This window comes from Homo sapiens, chromosome 7, assembly GCF_000001405.40.
Source record: "Homo sapiens chromosome 7, GRCh38.p14 Primary Assembly".
NCBI classification, from domain to species: Eukaryota; Metazoa; Chordata; class Mammalia; order Primates; family Hominidae; genus Homo; species Homo sapiens.
The window spans coordinates 70,420,217-70,439,732 of NC_000007.14; the positions used below are offsets into that span (position 1 = coordinate 70,420,217).

General features: G+C 42.6%; 1 protein-coding gene across 25 annotated transcripts in view; it reads left to right on the top strand.

Annotated features, from left to right (window-relative positions):
- Nucleotides 1–19,516, top strand: part of AUTS2 (activator of transcription and developmental regulator AUTS2) — a 1,195,032-nt gene that overhangs the window by 821,742 nt on the left and 353,774 nt on the right. For all 25 annotated transcript variants that reach the window (XM_011516010.3, XM_011516013.3, XM_011516014.3 and 22 more), the window contains one exon: nucleotides 15,536–15,565. In XM_011516010.3, the coding sequence (XP_011514312.1) occupies nucleotides 15,536–15,565 (30 nt within the window). The remainder of the gene's footprint in view (nucleotides 1–15,535; nucleotides 15,566–19,516) is intronic.

Here is a 19,516-nt window from a genome sequence, read left to right on the forward strand (position 1 = left end):
CTTTCAGGGCAGACAACGAGCATGCCTGTTCAGTTTGGGTTTTTTGCTCTGAAAGTCCCATTGGTTTACAGTGAAGTTGCTGTAGGTCTTGCTTGAGTCTTTTATGATCCCTGCCATCCAGCCAGGAGCTGTGACTGCTCTGTAACCTTCTTAGATTTAAATCTGTTGCTTGTGTTCTCCTCATAGTGTTACAGAGCAGCAGAGGCCATCCATACTGATGTCTTAATATCATTCTCTCCTTAGATTTATAGGGTAAAATAAACCCTCTGCCATAGAAGTGCTTATTGATTACTGAAGTACATAATAAAGCCTAAGAATAAAGTAAGACCAAGTAATCGGTTCTGTTCCTGGGGGATGACAATAAACTCTGGCCGAGGCAGCCTCTGAAGGTTGCCTTTTGCCTTGGAGCTAGGAGGCTCCTTTTTAATTGGTTGTCAAAATAGTAAGCAGTGACTGATAGAAATCAGACAAAAAGAGTACATACTGTATGGTTCCATTTATGTAAAATTTTTAAAAATACCTACTAATCTGTAGTGACAGAAGGCACATCAGTGATACGGTAAGGGACCTGAGAGAGGGATAGAAGCTTTGGGGAGGGATGGACAGGTTCACTGTCTTGATCGTGGTGATGGCTTCACAGGTGTGTACACATATATGAAAAGCTATCAAATTGTGCATTTCAAATACGTGCCTTTTACCAATGTCAGTTATATCTCAATAAAGCCACAAAAAAATAGTGAACAGTATCCCATAAAGAGACAATCCATGGCTCACTCTGTGCTAGAAAAATTTTCTCTTTTCTTAGAAAGCTATATTTTGACAAACATTCAGGGGGAATTGTGAGACTACATTTCACCTTCACCTTTAGCTAAATAGGGGTTTTAGAAGACTGAAAGATGCCACCGGAAATTAAAAAAGAAAAAGGCATAAGAAGGTAGGATAGCCCTCTTTCTTCATTCCTTTTTCTTTCCTACATCTGAACCTTAAAGGTGCCTTTTAACATAATTTTTTAGTAAAACAAAAAAAGGTATTTAGAAAATATTAATTCTTTTCTCTCATCCCCCCCAACCCTTCTGCTATTACATTTCCCCCACCCAGAAAAGAGATTCTACAGTGCAGAGTAAAAACTACTCCAAAATGTTGGCAGTCTAAAAGTGGACAGGCATTTTCAACACAAAGAGATGTTTGTTTTCCTTGCATTTTAACTCTTAATTTTTGACACAGTAGGGAACTCCAGCATGGCTGCCATTTAAAATGTAACAATGCCATGCAGCTCTGATTGCCTCTGTCACAGGGGTGTTGTGACTGAAGGCCAGGAGACAAAGCAAATGAGGCCAGAGACAGTGCCTGCTGCTGAAGTGCTGGTCCATTTCTCCACCCGCATTTGAATTTGTCTTTTCTCTGGCTAACTGCTTTTCTGCCCTGATGAGGAGTCACTCGGGGAGACTGAAGCTGGAATTTGTACAACCTCTTTCAGTCCCCTTGATTTTAATCAGAAATACACAATTATTCTTTTCCTCCAAATAGAGAAACTCAATCCCCATTTTAAATTCAATTATTGTAATTGCAGCATTCAGAAAAATAGCACATTCATTTTCTAATAAGAGATTGTGGATACCAAATTACTGCATATAGTATGTCAAAACAGGAAACTTGAGACTGGCAAACCAGTGGGTGTTTTTATCTTGGCAATTTGTATTTTCTTGCAGACAATTTATAGTAATCCTACCCTTCCTTGTTTATGATATAGAAGACTAGGTTTTAAAGCCATCCTAAAATAAAGACTGTTTTTGTTGGGTACAGTTTAATTGAAAATCTGTTATGAGTATGAGGAATTCTACAAAGGGCAAAAGTGAAGGCAGATACCCAATAAAGGGAAGAAAAAAAAGGAATCACTTTAGGATCCTATGTGACGGTAGCCTAAGATGTCTTTGGATCTTCTTGAACCATTCTCATTATCTCAAGCCATATTTATATTCCTTTAGCCAAGTTTCTCACTATCTTGCATTTGTAAAAAAACAAAAAAAGAAATCTGGTTGGTGAGAAGTTGATAATGTGGCCATTATGTCTTAGCAATATGAGAGCACCATTGTCCCTCTTCCTGCTCAATTCCAGTTGCTCTAGTTGGCTTGAAGTGAATCAAATGTGAAAAGAAATACAGTTTTTTTATTTTGAGTTTCCTGATTTTCATAAAAGAGTAACCTTAAGATGTGATTTCTTCAAGTGCATGCTGTTATTTTCTTAGGATTTACTGTCACCTCAAAATTATATCCATGTCAGCCAGGCATAGTGGCTCATGCCTGTAATCCCAGCACTTTGGGAGGCTGAGGTGGGTGGATCACCTGAGGTCAGGCGTTTGAGACCAGCCTGGCCAACCTGGTGAAACCCTGTCTGTACTAAAAACACAAAACATTAGCCAGGCATGGTGGCGCATACCTATAGTCCCACTTATGGGAAGCTGAGGCAGGTGAATCGCTTGAACCCAGGAGGCGGAAGTTGCAGTGAGCCAAGATCGCGCCACTGTGCTCCAGCCTGGGCAACAGAGTGAGACTCTGTCTCAAGAAAAAAAAAATTATACCCATCTTTTTCATAGACACATTCAGACACCTACCACACTTTCAGATCTTTTAGTGTTCATGCCGCCAACCACTGTCTCTCTCTTGATCTCTTCACTCAGACACTCTCCATGCTACCTTCCCTCAGGTATTTTGCTACTGTAATTTATTAATTCTTTCACATATATGTATTGAGCACCTTCTAGGTACCAGCTTCAAGTGGAGCAAGATATGAGCAAACTCTGAGATACTGTCAAGGAAACTAGCCAACAGTGTTGGAGGTGCTAGAAACCAACAGTTAAGGTACAGCCAGTGAAGTCAGAGCCCTGGAAAGCTTCCATATGGAAGAAGGAACAGTCATTTCCATGTGTCCTGAAAGGGTGGTGGTCTGTTGGATCCTTGAGTGCCTACTAAGTGCCAGGTACTTTAGTTATATTCTCTCAGCAAATCCCCATTTTTGCAGTTACCTCTGGGAATTTTTATCTCTGTCAAGATTACTCTCCTGGTTGATTTTGGTAAATCAGTCCTTAAATCAATCTTGAATATAAATAATCTGTGAGTAGGGCTATCAAAACTATCTCCTAATTCTGACTGGTCAGAATCGCTAGACAAAGTTTAAAATATGTAGCTTCCTACTTGTACCAGTAATCACCTAGTGTTTTTAATATCCATTCTATTTATCTGTGTATTTATTTTTCCAACTTAACTTTGAACATTTTAATAATGTCAAAGCCCATATGCACTATGCATAGCATAACTTACAAATTTAAACTCCAAATCTTGTACCTATGCATTTTACTTTAGTCCCTGTGTGCAGGTTACTGACTATTTGAAGAATAAGTCCAAGCTACTTCCATCCCAAAAAAAAATGTTCATCAAGAACCTAAAGAAACACTTCAAAATTTCAGCTCTAAGGTGTCTTTCCTTTTTGGTTTTTTATCAGTGAAATAAAACTATTAGTTACCTGGAAGATTCTTCTTGTTGCTCACTTCGTTGAGAGGGAATGATGGTTTCTGGTTTTGTTTGTCTGGGTGGTTGTTTCTGTTTTCGTGTAGCATAGTATTGAGTCTTTAAACACGTCCTGAGCAGAAATCCTTGCAGAATGTGACTTCCCCTCTGGCAATAAAACGGTACAAAAATTCAACCCAACATTTAAATAATTAGTAAGTTACCCTGTTGTTGTGTGTGATATAACATATCTTTCATGGAAATAACTGGAAAAATGAAACTATTGGTATGTCTTTCTGGCTGCTTTCACATACCTGAACTGATTTAATTCTCACAAAAATCCGGTGGGGTGTGTATCATCGCCATTCACTGGTTAAGAAAGGTAGACTCCAAGAATTAAGTTCCTTTCCAAACACAGCATGATTATTAAGTGGAGGGGGTCAGAATTTGAACCTACGTCAGCCTCAGACTGAATGAGCACTTCCTGTGAGCCAGGGACTGTGCTCAGTCCCTCTTAAGGGAGAGCTGTCTTCTGTGGAGCAGAAATACGGCTATATGGCTGCATTCACTGCTGCTTGTAGGCGCTGCAATCTCTTTTCGGTTTCAGCTTGCCTCTGTACTTTGCCAAGCAATCAATCAGGAAAATATTTTGAAGTAGTTTCTTTGTATAGCCTGAGAGAGAGAGTGAGATGGTACGTTATACTGGCTAAGAACATGAACTTTGAAGGACATAACTGGGTTCAAGTGCCATCTCTGTCACTGGAAGCCTTACTTACCTTCTCATCTCTAAAATGGAAGGGTGGTAGTATAATACTTTCTTCTAGAGCTGTTGTCAGGATTCTTGGTGTTTTTTGTTTGTTTGTTTGTTTCTTTGTTTGTTTGTTTTGGACAGGGTCTCTCTCTGTCACCCAGGCTAGAGCACAATGACATGATCAGAGCTAACTGCAGCCTTGACCTTCCGGGCTCAAGCAATCCTCTCACATCAGCCTCCCAGGTAGCTGGGACCACAGGCATGCATGACCATACCTGCTAATTTTAAAATTTTTTGCAGGGACAGGGGTCTCGCTATGTTGCCCAGGCTGGTCTTGAACTTCTGGGCTCAAGAGATCATCCCGCCTCAGTCTTCCAAAGTTCTGGGATTAAAGGCATGAGGCATTGCACCTGGCCTCAGGATTCTTTTTTGATGAATGCCAGCCAACAGCTGGCATTTCTAGAGGAAAACATGCTCTGCCGTTGTTCCTGTGGAGGAACCCTGCAAGATGTGAAATGCACTTCAACAACCAGGCTTTTCCAAAATAGAGAGCTCAGGGCTGCCCTGCCATCATGGACACCCCATCTCTCCTTTAGCTTGAGATGGACATTGACCCTTTGGCTGGGAATTGAATCATGTTGGTGATACTTAGCATGGAAAGCCGTAGCTACATTCAGTGTCTCACAACCTTAGTGGTGGAAGGAAGAATGGTTGCAGCAGCTTCATTACCTGGGGAAAAAGAACTTGGAATTCCAAGCACTTTAAGAAAGATGCTTTTACTTTGAGTGTTGGAGAAAATAGAGCAATTACCTATTGAAGACAAAGTGGATGAAAAAACACCTCTGTTCATGCTACCCTGATCATGTAATCTATTCATATTCATTCTGCCTTCCTGAAGGTGATTCAAGCCAGACTGGCTGTTCCTGCTGGCTGTGCCTTTCCTTCCCCAGGATACACAGGGCACATGGTGATCACCTGAGATTCCCAGCTAAACTCAGACATTTTCTACTCCAAGAGGAGATTCCTCAAAGGGCTATAGCACACAGGCAGCATCAGATAATGTGGAATGAGTGGAAGGAGGGAGGGAGGAGGAATCCATAAATCATCAAATTGTTGTTGAGCATCTTTGAGGGTCCTCAAGAATACACTAGACCCTGTGATGATTCCAGGGACAACCAGCCTGCACTTTCTGAGGAGTTCACTGCCTGCCTGGGGAGCAAGACTTGTATATGTTAAATTAGCAAAGAATTTATGCAAGACGTATGTGAAATCAGTGAAGAATTCTATTCTATCTAGACTAGAGCCAGGGAGATTTCCAACACCTGGCTCATGTATGCTTTTTAAAAAAAGATATTCAGTCTTACTGAAGATGAATAGATGGATGGATGGATGGTTTCTAACATCTATTGATTGCTTCCTATGTATCAGGCAGTGTTCTAGACATTTTTATGTTTATTACATATGTACTTATACAAATTATATGTTTATTAACTCAATTAACGTTCTTAGCAACACTATGAGGTACATACTGTCAATAGCCCCATTTAATAGATGAGGAAACTGAAGCACAGAGAGGTTAAGTTCCTTGCTAGAGGTTTCACAGATGGTGTACAGTACAGGCAGGCTTTGCACCCAGGCAGTCTGGCTCCATAGTTATATATGAAGGATAACGATGTGGTCTTTTCAAGAGCTGTTGGCATCTTGGTTCACACTGAAAGCTACCAGGCTTTGTTATCTGTTCCTCTGGCTTTGGCTTCCTGAGTCTTAAGCACCCTTCTCTTTTCTAGAACATAGACCAGCTTGAACCAACCCTCTGTGATTCCACCCCGCCTCTCCCCTGGCTGCACCAGGCCTCTCATTTGTAGTTTCTCTTACTGAGCACATTTCTAAACGAGGACGGTTGCTCCACTTTAAGGACATACAAATGGCTTGCCCTCACCTGTCAAGCATGATCCTTGTATTTTACCAGGCCCATTATGAACGCAATCTTTCTGTTGAAAATTTGCATACCTCCTTTCTTGAAAAGTAATGACAGCAATTTCTTTCCCTCCGCTCACTTTCTGAGTGTCTCATTTAACGGCACCTGTGAAACCGACAGGCACAGAGATGAGAAGTGAAAGAGAGCAGTTGATTAAATCATCATCAAGTCGGGCCTCAGAAAGTCAATTCTGCTTGCCGTCTGCAATGATATCCTTTTATCTTAAAGTAATGAGCTATGGCACTTTTGCATCGGGTAATGCGATAAGTTCTATTAGCATGTTCCATTTGCCTCACAAGCAAGGGCAAGTCATTTTAGCTAGCTCATATCACTGCAATCAAAGCAATTGGCTTCCCAGGCAGAGAAGAAAGGGAAAAGGCTCAGGGTGATTTCTATGGATCACAACACAGCGGAAAAAATAGACTCTTGTATTATTTTAACCCATAACATACTTTTCCTTTTTACTCATCAGCAAATTTGGGTTTTATTAGCTTACACAGGACTCCAAAAAGAACCCAGCATCAGTTGAAGCAAACCTGGGGGTGGGGGCTCAGACCCCACCCAAAGCACCAAGAAACTATATATGGGAAGGGAAAATCGCCCCATTACAGAGGGGTCACAAATAGAATTCTGCCAAAGCACACAGGCAAAGATGTCTTCCTGATAGTAACACTGTGGTCTCATAATAAACTCTTGCTTCACACCATCTTCAAAGTCATTTGTAATAGGTCCCCAGGCAAGTACGGATTAATGCTATTGATGACTTAGAATCAGTAAATCAATGACAGAGAAGCAAAGGATCTGTTCCTTAAGCTTAAAAGAGATCATTTACAAATCACCGGGCCCCAGACTGTCAGTTTTACCTTTGGACAAGATACTTATTTTTCTGAGTTTGGCAACCACTGAGGTTTGTGGACTCTGGGTTTTAAGTAAATTTCATCTTTGGGGTTTATGTATATTTATACTTGGCAAAATGTGACTTCCTTTCTTAGAGGAAAACAAGCTGAACTCCCCAAAGATTTGTGAAATATTCACTTCCAACCCCACTTCCAATAACTCAACAATACTTTAATGATCTGTGGAAATTTACAACATACAGATTGTTTTATGAAATACACTTGGATTTCAAAGTGACAAAAAGGAAAAAAAATATTAGAATTTAATTTATGAGCTTTAAAACTTCAAGTTTGGACAACCTGATTTCTGTCAATATATTTGCACTTCTAATGGGTGGTAGAATGAACCTAGCACATAGTAGTTACCTGAACATTGTTGGTTGAATGAGTGTGTTATTATCTGAGACACTGGAGGGGGAATAAGAAGTGTTCCCTTAGCCCCCTCAGATCACATTGGTTATTTGAGCTCTGGCCAGTTCAAACTGAGAACTTGCAAAAATGTCAGATTCTGAGAACTCCCCATTCAGAAATGCTAGGTTATCAGTACCGAATTCCAGAGGCTTCTGAGAGTTGATTCTCTTGTATCTCCTGAACAATTGAAGATTGGTGGACCTCATATTATTTTCAAATGGGCTCATTAGTGATTACCAAAAGCTTTATTCTTGTAAACTGTTGTTTGGAACATGAATATTTTAATTAGGCTTTCATTTTATCTGAGCTATTTTATTTGATCAGGCGTAGTTACTGTTAAGATAGAGGGGAAGAGTCGACGACATTATTTCACAGTCAGTAAGAATATGGTCTCAGTAAGAACATTTTCAGGTTTAAAAATTTAAAAATTTCTAGGGCCCCAGTAGCTTTAAATTTCACTTAGTCCAAAACCAATATGAGAGCAATGTAAACAGTGTGAAATTAGGGCTTTGTGGATTGATGAAAAACAGACAACATCAGAGCTGCCATATGTGGCACAAAATGGCGGCCCATTTTTACATGAGCAAAGGATTGGGCAGCTGGGCAGGGGATGGTGAACGTGTTTTTAGTCACCATGCTGCTATCTTACTTCTTTAAATAAGAAAATAAGTGTCATGTTTTCTGCAGGTGGCTTCTTCTGAAATTGCTTTTAGGTGAGGGATGTCTTTAAGGTCTTAGATAAACCGCCTGCCCCAAAGGAGAATCGATTTGTTTTGTCACTGGCAAAGTTAAATTATACTTGATGTTAGATATTGTAGTTTACAAGTTGGGGTTCTCCCTCATTTTCCTCTCATTTCCTTTAGGCAGAAACAAGAATAAAATAACTTTGTTCAGCAGTGGTATTCAGCCCTGACATCTTTGGTGGCAATGATAAATGGATTTGAGATACGAAATAACTGTTCCAGCAAGGTCCATTGAGCAGAATAGAGAGCAATGCCCTCCTCAATGTCATTGTATGTGATATATTCAATGATTGCCACTCTGTGCTTAAGAATGCATTCCATCACAAGGTACCTAGAATTCCATCTTGTTGCTACATTCTGAATGAAACAGAGAGATGTCACAGACCTTGACTGATTTCAATTTGGACCAGAGTCTTAAAACACAGATACCGAGATTCCCAAATGAAAATGAAAAATATTTGCTTTTGAATAAATATAATAAAGTCATAATCACATCTTTTTTCTGAGCCTTTTAATGGAAGATATTTTCTTCTGGGCCCCAACTCTAGGCTCTGCTAACGATTTTAACCTCCCTCAGTATGTTCACACATACATCTCTTTGCGTTAAGCAGTCATATTAGTGTTTCTTGTACTTTCTCTTTGGAATCACCTGCCTTTTAAATCATACTTTGCTTATGCTGCATGGAATCAACCACAGTTTGAACAATACTCAAGAAGAATGAGATTGACTTGTCAGTATAATTGAGCATCTATTGTGTCCCAAGGCCTAGAGATACAAAGATAAGCAAGGCACTGTCCTTACCTACATGGAGCTCATTCTCTGGTTGGAAAGACTGTTGTGGCAAACAACGGCAGTACAGTTTTGTAAGGGATGGAGATAGAAGCAATTAAGTCTTTCTGGAAAAGTATTGGAAGATTCAAAAAAGGAACTGTGTTTTGAAGGTGAATGTCAGGCTTTTAGGTAGAAACTTGGAGGAATAGAATTCCCAGTAGAGGGAATTGTTAAGTGCAGATGGCTGGTGGCATGACTGAGCGTGAGTGGGCGTGGTTGAAGCAAGGTATGTTAGGATAGTGCCACACAATGCGAGGATGCCAACCAGGGCCGGACCACAAGCTGTTTGCAACCAACCTGCTGTGAGATTAGTATGGGGAGTCAAGAGTAAGCATTGGGAAACTTTTAGAGTAACTCAGTAGCATAATTTTGTGTTTCATAAATCTAATAATTTTTTAAATGTATTATATATATTTGTTTTTCTTTTTCATTTTTCAAGAATTTGACTTTTTATTATATTTTACAAAAGTAATTGTCGTAACATATTAGAAATTAAAGAAAGCAAAACAAAAACAAATGGCTCTTCACCACAGAAAGCTTAAGAAGCATTGTGTTGAGAGAGTGGTTGGGATTTGGGAGTTGAGGGGGATTAGAAACAGAATGTGAAGGGTCTTCATAGGCCTTGTGAAGCATCTGCATCAAATAGAAATTTAGGAAATCCACTCTTGTCAATAAGGACTTGGATTAGAAAAGGAAGAGAGCATAGACCTTGGAAAGCAGTCATTATCCTCTTGTAATGACAAAATAAAACCCTGAACTAACGCAGTAGCCATGGCCACAGGGATGGAGAGTTAGAAAGCAGAATCAATAACGTGGGGTGAGAGAGGAAGATAAGTCCGCTCAAGGATGGGGTCAAGGATAAGGCTCTTCACTTACGCAGTTGAGTGATTGCTTGGTGATGCTATTACCAAGGGCAACGTGGGAGAGGGGCAGTTTCAGGTGAGCAAAGATGTTGAGTCCAGATTTAGATGGATACTTGAGTCTGAGTGTTCGCTGCACTTCAACAGGGGGCACATACCCAACGGAAGCTTAATAATACTTAACATTTATCATCTGTACATACTTGGTACCATGCACTAAGTTGTTTACATGTATTAACTCATTCTCCTCTTCTAGCCATATTTTACAGAGAAATATACTAAGGCCCAGAGAGTTTAAATAACTTTTCCAAAGTTACACAGCTGGCAAATGTGGGCATAGAGATTTTTGAGTTTCAGCATATACATGGTAGAAAGGACCAAGGGAATCTTTAAGGTCTCCCTTGAAAGTCACATAGAAACAATAGAACTCCAGATGCAACTCTGGGGAGACAGTGACATTAAAGAATATGCAGAAAAGGAAGGGCCTTGAAAAGACAGTCGCAGACAGCAATATTGGTGAATGGGTGCAAAGGGAAAAATTCTAAAGGATGTGCAATTGAAACAATCTAAATAACCAGCACTGGGGAATTTTTTAATTAGATTATGTTACAATCCACATAGCAGATTGCAGTGTCGCCTTTTTTTTTTTTTTTTTTTTTTTTTGAGACGGAGTCTCGCTCTGTCGCCCAGGCTGGAGTGCAGTGGCGGGATCTCGGCTCACTGCAAGCTCCGCCTCCCGGGTTCGCGCCATTCTCCTGCCTCAGCCTCCCAAGTAGCTGGGACTACAGGCGCCCGCCAGCACGCCCAGCTAATTTTTTTTGTATTTTTAGTAGAGACGGGGTTTCACCGTTTTAGCCGGGATGGTCTCGATCTCCTGACCTCGTGATCCGCCCGCCTCGGCCTCCCAAAGTGCTGGTATTACAGGCGTGAGCCACCGCGCCCGGCCGTGTCGCCATTTTTTAAAGTGATGTTACAGGATAAATTTTACTGATTAAACTGAAATATTTGACGTGTTATGTGAAAATCAAAGCAGGTTCCAAAATGGTAGGAATTCATTTTTATTTCTTAAAATGTATGTTTAAAAGACGAGTGGGATTATATCCTTAAGACTGGAAAGACTTACAAAAATGTATTAACAGTGTTTACCTAAGGATTGTAGATTTATGGGTAATTTTTAAAATGTATCCAGTAAATATGTTTTTTTTGTTTGTTTGTTTGTTTTTGAGACGAAGTCTCGCTCTGTTGCCCAGGGTGGAGTGATCTCAGCTCACTACAACCTCCGTCTCCCTGGCTCAAGCGATTCTCCTGACTCAGCCTCCTGAGTATCTGGGATTACAGGCGCGTGCCACCACGCCCGGCTAATTTTTGCATTTTTAGTAGAGATGGCGTTTCACCATGTTGGTCAGGCTGGTCTCAAACTCCTGACCTCATGATCCACCCGCCTTCAGCCTCCCAAAGTGCTGGGATTACAGGCGTGAGCCCCGTCACCCGGCCGTAAATTTGTATTTTCAAAAGGAGAAAGATTGGGTGGGTTGGTTTGTTGTTTAAGGGGTAAGACTTGTCTGGGAAAGGAAGACTGTGCCTCCAGCAGTTCACTTTTAATTCATGAAACCAGGGGAAGAGACGGTGAAGATGGAAGTTGAGTGGTTTCAGTATTGAGATGGCTGGAAGGACTCAGGTTTAGGAACTAGTCCCTTTCTAACTGTGCATTTGAGGCCTTTGGCCAGGCGTGCACACGTCCTCTTTCTCTCCTTTTGTGTGTGATGGTTTGGGTCATGTCTTTGTCTGAAGGCCGGGTGACCATGAATTCTTATCTGTGATTGCTGTAAGGCCTAGTTGTTTCTTTTTGTCTCTTTTCATTTCTTGCTTTTAAAATGGAGGATATATTTTTAGCTTTTCACAGCGGGCTCTGAAATCTTGTCATGGAGAGTACTTCGTCACCTCAAGCTGGTAGTTAGTGTGCAACCTGTTTGCTAATAAACCAAAGCAGGACCCCGATGTCAAAATGCTTAAAATGGTCAAATCCGCTGGGACGCCGTCTCTGCATCTGACATGCCTTTTCCATTTCCCAGCCTCATGCAGAACATAAACCTGCATCAGGAGGTGGCTCAATGTGAACTCTTATAAATTGGAGTGGGTATCTAGGGATTGAGGAGCAGACACTTCTTCTTTTAACCTTTGAAGACCAAGAATCACTTGGCCAAAAAAATCCACAGTGTATTGAACTTAGGGTGTGAAAGCTATACAGTGTATTAAATGTGAATTTGAGACCATGAATTCTACCCACACTGACTCTATAAAACAGCCTCCCTTTTTCATAAAGCAGGCCCATAAACCGCTGCCAGTGAAGCAGAAAGACTCCTTAGGACTGTGGCTCGCTTTCCGTCTGGGGTTGTCAACAAACCCCCTTTATGAGTGGAATAGACCTCTTGTATGTGTCGAGCTTCTGGCTTTTTACAGAGTGTGTTAGGAGCCAGGCAAGGCAAACGTTAGGCGCTGTTTGCTGAGTGCATTTATTGGCTTTGCATAATTTATGAGCTGGAGGGGTTGACCATCATTCGTCTCTGCCAGGGGCTGGCACTCGAGGCTCCAGAGAGTGGAGCTGTAAATTGGATGGTGCGCTCCTGCTGAGCTCACGGCAAAGTCCTCAGGTCAGTATGGGAATTTAATACCAGAAATGGAACTGTTTTCTCAGCACACCATGTGGACCCCAGTGCAGCAGAGACTGTTTTGGCAGACTCCACGACTGGCCTTGTCGAGGAGCTGTCACTCACCCGGCATGTTGTGTGGGGAGCCTGAGCATTTTTAATCGGCTTGGCATCCGTGCTGCTTCCATAATGGATACCAGTAGGTCTCAGTTCTTCACCATATGCTTAACTCTGGAGACAAGGTGCTTCTGGGTATATCAGTAATTACTTGATGCAGAATTAAGTGGACCTTGAAATTAGAACTGGACTGTTGGAAAGCAGGAAGCTTAACACTTTGATAGAAATAACCATTCCCAGGGACATACTGCCGTTAGGATAGGGGGCACAGTGGTGGTTCTTTCCCAGCTACCCCACTCCTCGTCCTCCCTGCACACCAGATCCTTGGGGAGGTGGGCAAATGCGATGCCACAGCCTTCAGCTGTCATTGATTACCTCACAAGGAGCGCTGTGAACATCTGGGAACATGAGCCTGCCTGGCAAAATAGTCTTCTGCCTTCCACACCCCTCTTGAATTGAGCGTTGTCACTCTTGAAAATGTGCCCAGATCTTAGGAACCTCACAGAGGGCTTAATTAAAGGCAATGGAGAGATCACACAATCAGGACAGTATTGTTCCTCATCCACCTGCGGTTCTAGGCCTTCAAAGTCTTCATCTCATCCAATTTCTTTCTCAACTCATTTGACTTATTACAATAAAGAAACCACTCATCAGGTCAAAGAATGTAAATGTAGACAATCTGAGGTTGGAAGCTGGGTTGGAAATGATGCACCGTACTTGGTTAAATCGCTGTCACTGAATATCTGACTACCCTGTGGCACTGAGGAGCCAATGGGAGAAGTAGAAAATGTTCTAATCCTCCAGTCTATAAGACTGTGATATAAGTTCCTAAATGCTTTTACTACGGAGTGCTTAGTCTGAAAAGAATAAGTAGTCCCCAGGTTGTCTCATAATAGCAAGAAGTCCATTTAGATGGGTGTTCTGTTACTTCCCATTAAAAGCTCTCTAATAGGAGCTTAAACAATAAGGTAACTTAGTGTTTTCTGAATAAAAGTCCTGAGGCAGGCTGCCCTGAGATGGGTTCAGTGGTCCAATTCTGTCAGGCATTTTTTCCCTTGGTCCCACTCTGTTGTTTTTGTACTGAGTCTTTTTGCCTCATTTTTGCAAGATGGCTGCTACGTATCTGGACATCACGTTCTTATACACTCATGTTCAAAGGCCAAAGGCAGGTGGTTCCTTCTTTTCTTTGTTTACTGGGGAGACAAAATTGTTTCTAGAGCCCTCAGCAGATTTCAGAATCTCATTGGCCAAAGATGGGCCTTCAAATAAGCGATTACAATGCCCAGAGGTTTACCTCTTTTCCCATCTTTAGCCTCAAGAAAAATTGAGAAAGAAAATACCTGGCATTTTTAACCTCAAAGTGTCAGGAGAAGGTACAGACTAGGGAGAAGGGAGTTGTGAATGGCTGTGGGGATCTAGCCAGCAGTGGCTGCCCTACAAGCAAATTTATTTCCTGTTTCTGTTCAAAGCTATACCAACTCCCATGTCCAGGTGGCCACACTAAAAAACCTTGGCATCATCCTAGACACATCCCTGTTACTTGCTTCCCATATCCATGTGTTATCAAATCCTGTTGGTTCTACCTTCAGAATTGCTGTGCCATCTGCTTCTGCCTTCCTAAACCATGGCACCACCTTGGGTTAGACAGTGGAATGGCTGCCAAACCACTCTCCCTGTGACCTGATTTTTCCCCACTGTGCACTCTCTCCACGTTCCCACAGAAAGTCATCCTCATGGAAGCAGCTCTGATCATGCCACACCCCTGCTAGTGTTTGTATCCCAGCTTCATGTCTTACTGCTAAACGGAAGGCTCCTTTAGAGCCAGGCCTGTATCTCAGGTGAATTTCAGTCTAGTTTAGCAGTTCCTTATCAAGGGCTGTTGACTGAATGAATAGATATATTTACCTGCTGAGCTTTACTCTAACAAAACACATCCCCCAGTTTTTCATTGAATATTGAATTAACAAAACACTTCATTTTTTTTAAGTTGTGTTCTTTTTTCCCTTGCTTATCATGAGGATCCCAAAGACTGGGGTTAATTATTAATTATCACTCTCTGCTTATCCCAAACCAAACTCAGTGGTTGGAATTTGGGATCTGTTTGATATGGTCTGAGTCTATGGCCCTAAAGCATACTTTTTTGCCCATATTTTTTATTTACTACCCTGACCTCTTGTCTTTGGCATACTTTTTATAGGGAATGTTCCTTCTATTCTCTGGGCCTCTAAACCGGAAAAGGCAGCCATCACAAGTGGTGAGCCTTGGCCATTATGTTCTGTTTCCTTCAAAGTTCAAATGAGTGACTACAACGCCCAGAGGTTTACCTCTTTTCCTGTAGAAAAGCACCGGTAGAGATACAGCCATTCACATTAGCTGAAGATAGAATGTCTTCGTTAAGAAATTGATTTTGCTCTGAATTTCATTGAACAATCTTGATTCACCTTAATCCTGTGGCTGACTCCTAGAGGGGCATCGCCTCTACCCTGCCATGGTGGGAGGGAAGCGCTCACTTGTGTGATTGAGCACCTTGCTGGACTGACCTGAGGAAGAGCCACAGAGTACAGGCATCAGATGAAATCAACAAAATAACTTTTTTGCATCTGGATAGCATTTTGTTTCAGATGCTGTTTACTAGCACTTGAACTGGAGAAACTCTTTCTTTCCAGGAAGACAGCATTTTTTATTTCCTTTACTTATCTTGCACTTTTTTTGTATGGGGGTTGGGGGAGGAGGCATCAAAAGCAAAAACATACTCAGTTCTTGCACTAACCCTTATTCTCTTGTCTTCATTTTCAGTGTGACAGTGACAGTGACCAGGAAGAGAAGGTAAGACCCCCCCTCCCCCATTGTGGGCACAGCACATAACACACTGAACACCAGAGTCCTCCCACACACAGCTGCAGGGTAGGATGCCAGCTTCATGTTGACAGGACCTTTTCTCTTTAGGAAAGATGGGCATTATTCACACAGTGACATTTCCTATGCTATGACACGTTTAATTTGTCAGATCTACCTTTTTTTCATTTAAACAAGACCTTTAATATTGCATATATGTGACACTGAGTTTTTACTTTATGGAAGATGACTCATAGACTCAAAAACATTTTAAAAGACAAAATTATTTATTTTAATAACCATCTGATTTTTAAAAATCCATGATGAGAACGTTAAACTTGCTAGTTTGTGTTTATAATGTCATTTCTGCATTTATTTTACTGACCCATATGCTTTTCTGTACCTATTGGCCTTCTTGATAGAAATGTTAATGGTCTGTGTCTAGGAATCTCATCATGGGGTACGGGTGGGCAAGGGAGGTCAGATGGGAACTGCCCTCTTCCCATCCGGGCGGACCGCCAGGTAGGAGGACAGTTCTTCCAGCAGGTACATGCTCTGTTTCGAGGCTCATGGGCACCAGCCTCTGTGTATCCAGATCAACATGGATCAAGAAAAGGAACTCAGTTTCTGAGGTTCCAGAAGATTGGATCACAACTCGGTAAAGTGAGCTTTCTGCTGCCTGAAGCAAAGGGATTATTTGTCTGTTTGGTCTTTCTTTCTAGCCGTTCCAATCCCCAACCAAAGTTCCTTCCATTTTTACTGCTGCTTTATGTTATTTTGAAAAGAGTTACCTGAATATCACGGTTTCTGTATTGCTTGGTATCAAAAGGATGGACTCGGCCTCCCTTCCCCCGTTTCTGGATCTGTCCTGTGCCCTGTGCTTTGACTTTCACCTCCTACATGCTTGCGGATTTTATTCAGAATGCTGCAGTTAGTATTTAGTGGGATCTTTCCAACAAACCCAGAATTTTTCTCTCCTTCTCTGCTGCCAGCCTCCAAGAGAGATCTAAAGGCTCTTGTTCTGTACTGTCGTTAATTTGAATTCAGCATATGTAGCCTGTTATAAAATGCGAGACATCATCATTTGAGCAGGTCAAGCATATTCAGATGAAGACAAATGGTGCTTATTTGATTTCCTTAAAATCAGGAAATGAAAAAAATGCTCTCTGGAGAAATCATGTTCTGCCTGACTTGGATGATAGACCAATGCATGTCCCCCAGATAAGAACAGGCTCTCGCCTTGAGGTTTTTATCTCTGAAGGACGGCCAGGACTGTCAGCTTGCTGACATGTGCATTATCCATGTCATTTTAAACAAAGTGACCTATGGAAGGGTACGCTGTGCTGTGACATGGTAATGGGCTGTTGGATGACAGTGAAAGTACACACTGGAAAGGGGGCTGTGGATTATTCTTTTGTTTAACTGACAAGTAGGAGCTGCCTTTCTCCAGCCCCCAGGAGCCTTAGCTCCTTGGAAGTAGGACTCCTGGTGTCTCAGGCAGCCAGTGTGTAGTGGGTGCCAGGGACATGTGCACAGCAGTAATGGTTAGTGTTCAAGACACGGTCATTGGCCCCCAAACCCCCGAGGCCACATTCCCACATGGTGGGCATCACTGGTACCCAGGGAGGGACTGGTACCTTCTGGCCATTCCAGATCTATCAGCAATGGTTGATCTCACTTTCTAAGTCTGTGCCACTTTTCCAAAAGGATAAATCTTATTCAGGGTCGTACAACCAAGCTGACATTCTTTCCTTAAAAGGAAATGTGGGGCCAGGCGCAGTGGCTCACGCTTGTGATCCCAGCACTTTGGGAGGCCGAGGTGGGTGGATCACGAGGTCAGGAGATTGAGACCATCCTGGCTAACACTGTGAAACCCCGTCTCAACTAAAAATACAAAAAATTAGCTGGGCATTGTGGCGGGCGCCTGTAGTTCCAGCTACTCGGGAGGCTGAGGCAGGAGAATAGCTTGAACCTGGGAGGCGGAGGTTGCAGTGAGCAGAGATCGCACCACTGTACTCCAGCCTGGGTGACAGAGTGAGATTCCATCAAAAAAAAAAAAAAAAAAAAGGAAATGTGAATTCCAAAACCATCACCAGTCTTCAGCAGTGGTAGAAGGTGGTAAGGATGCCCGGTTTTGTGTTCCTTGTAAATGTCTTCACCAGTGGCCTCAACCTTGACACCCAAATCACCTAGGGAGCTGCTACAAGTTCCAGTGCCTGGGCCTCATCCCAGGTCAATGACCTTGGAGCCTTTGGGGCTGTCTTGAACCATGGGTCTTGATGATCACCTAACTCTGGTAATTTCTAGGAGTAATCTGCCTCTGGTTGTCAGAGGGATCTGGGGGCCAATACTGAGAGCACCCCACCAGGTCCTTTCCCATCACCTGAATTCCTGAGTAGTTATTGCCTGGGTTTCCATCTCTAAGTGCAAGAAGTAAAGTGTCGGAATAATGGGTATTGGGAAGGTAGCTCCCACCTACCACTCTGAGCTTGAGTAGATTTCAGGGTAATAAAGCGGATACATAGTTGTTTATAGGCGAGTCCAAGAGTGGCAATGGCAAGAAGGGAAGGGGTATTAGGAGTGTTCCTCAGATTCATGGCGCACCTCCTGCCCTGCACCCCCAGCCATTCTTCCTTTCTACTGTGGTGATCCTGCAGGTCTTAAGTGGGAGCCACACCATAACCAGTGTTGACATCATCTGCCTCTGTTCTGCCCCATGCCATTTCTCCAGGGGGCTCCCAACAGGAGCCATTGAGACTCTAATTGCCCTCGCACCTGCTTGGCCCTGTTGCAGTTAAGACTGTTAGGCTTCCCCTTTTGGACTGAGATTGTCTGGTGTTTATCGCCAACTTTAACACCATCCTCCAAGACTTCTGCTCTGTCGGAGCCTGGGTCCCTGTCAGCCTCCTCTGTGAAGAAACCTCTTGCCTGTGCCCCCCTCGAAGCCCCAGAGCTAACCAGGGCTGCTTTCATGTGTTGCTTGGAGGATTCGCATTCGAATCTGAATTGCTAATGGTGGAAAAGATGCCACTCAGTGTCCTGGGATACCTTCAGCAAGCCCCACCAGGGATGCTGTTGGAGGCAAAAGTGAAACTTGTCAGGGACCCACTGGGATTTCTCTCTGGAAGACCTGCCATTCTCTTACTCCATAGGGATCTGCAGAACCGGCAGGCTAAAATTAGGGTACTGTGTTTCACACAGCTGACTGAATTAAGATAAACTCTGCTTTCCTCTGATATGAAGCTGTAATTTATAAAATGATACCCTTACTAATTAACGTGGAAGTGACTCCGAAAGGGGCTAAAAAAGCAGAGCTTTCCCTAAATGCAGGAGACACACTTGTGCACAAAAAGGCTTTGATGAGACACTGAGCAAAGTATCTCCCTTATCCTCCCCTCCCAGCCACGTGAATACATTGCACATTAATGTCAGATAACCACAAGGACGTTCATGAAGAGTAGAAATTGGGCTGGGTGCGGTGGCTGATGCCTGTAATCCCAACACTTTGGGAGGCCAAGGCGGGGAGATGACAAGATCAGGAGTTGGAGACCAGCCTGACCAACATAGTGAAACCCCGTCTCTACTAAAAATACAAAAAATTAGCCGGGCGTGGTAGCACGTGCCTGTAGTCGCAGCTACTCGGGAGGCTGAGGCAGGGGAATTGCTTGAACCCGGGAGGCGGAAGTTGCAGTGAGCCGAGATCGCACCATTGCACTCCAGCCTGGGCGACAGGGCGAGACTCCATCTCAAAAAAAAAAAAAAAAAAAAAAAGATAGAAATTGGGTGGGGAATTACAGAAGGCTGTGAACACTGCATCTTAGATGTGGGATTGTTCTTCACTGTAGTGAGAGCTAAGAAAAGAGGCAGCACTTGGCACCCTTAATCACCCAAATTAAGCAATTATTCTGATCCCCCATTCGAAATGAATTGGTATCATGAGAA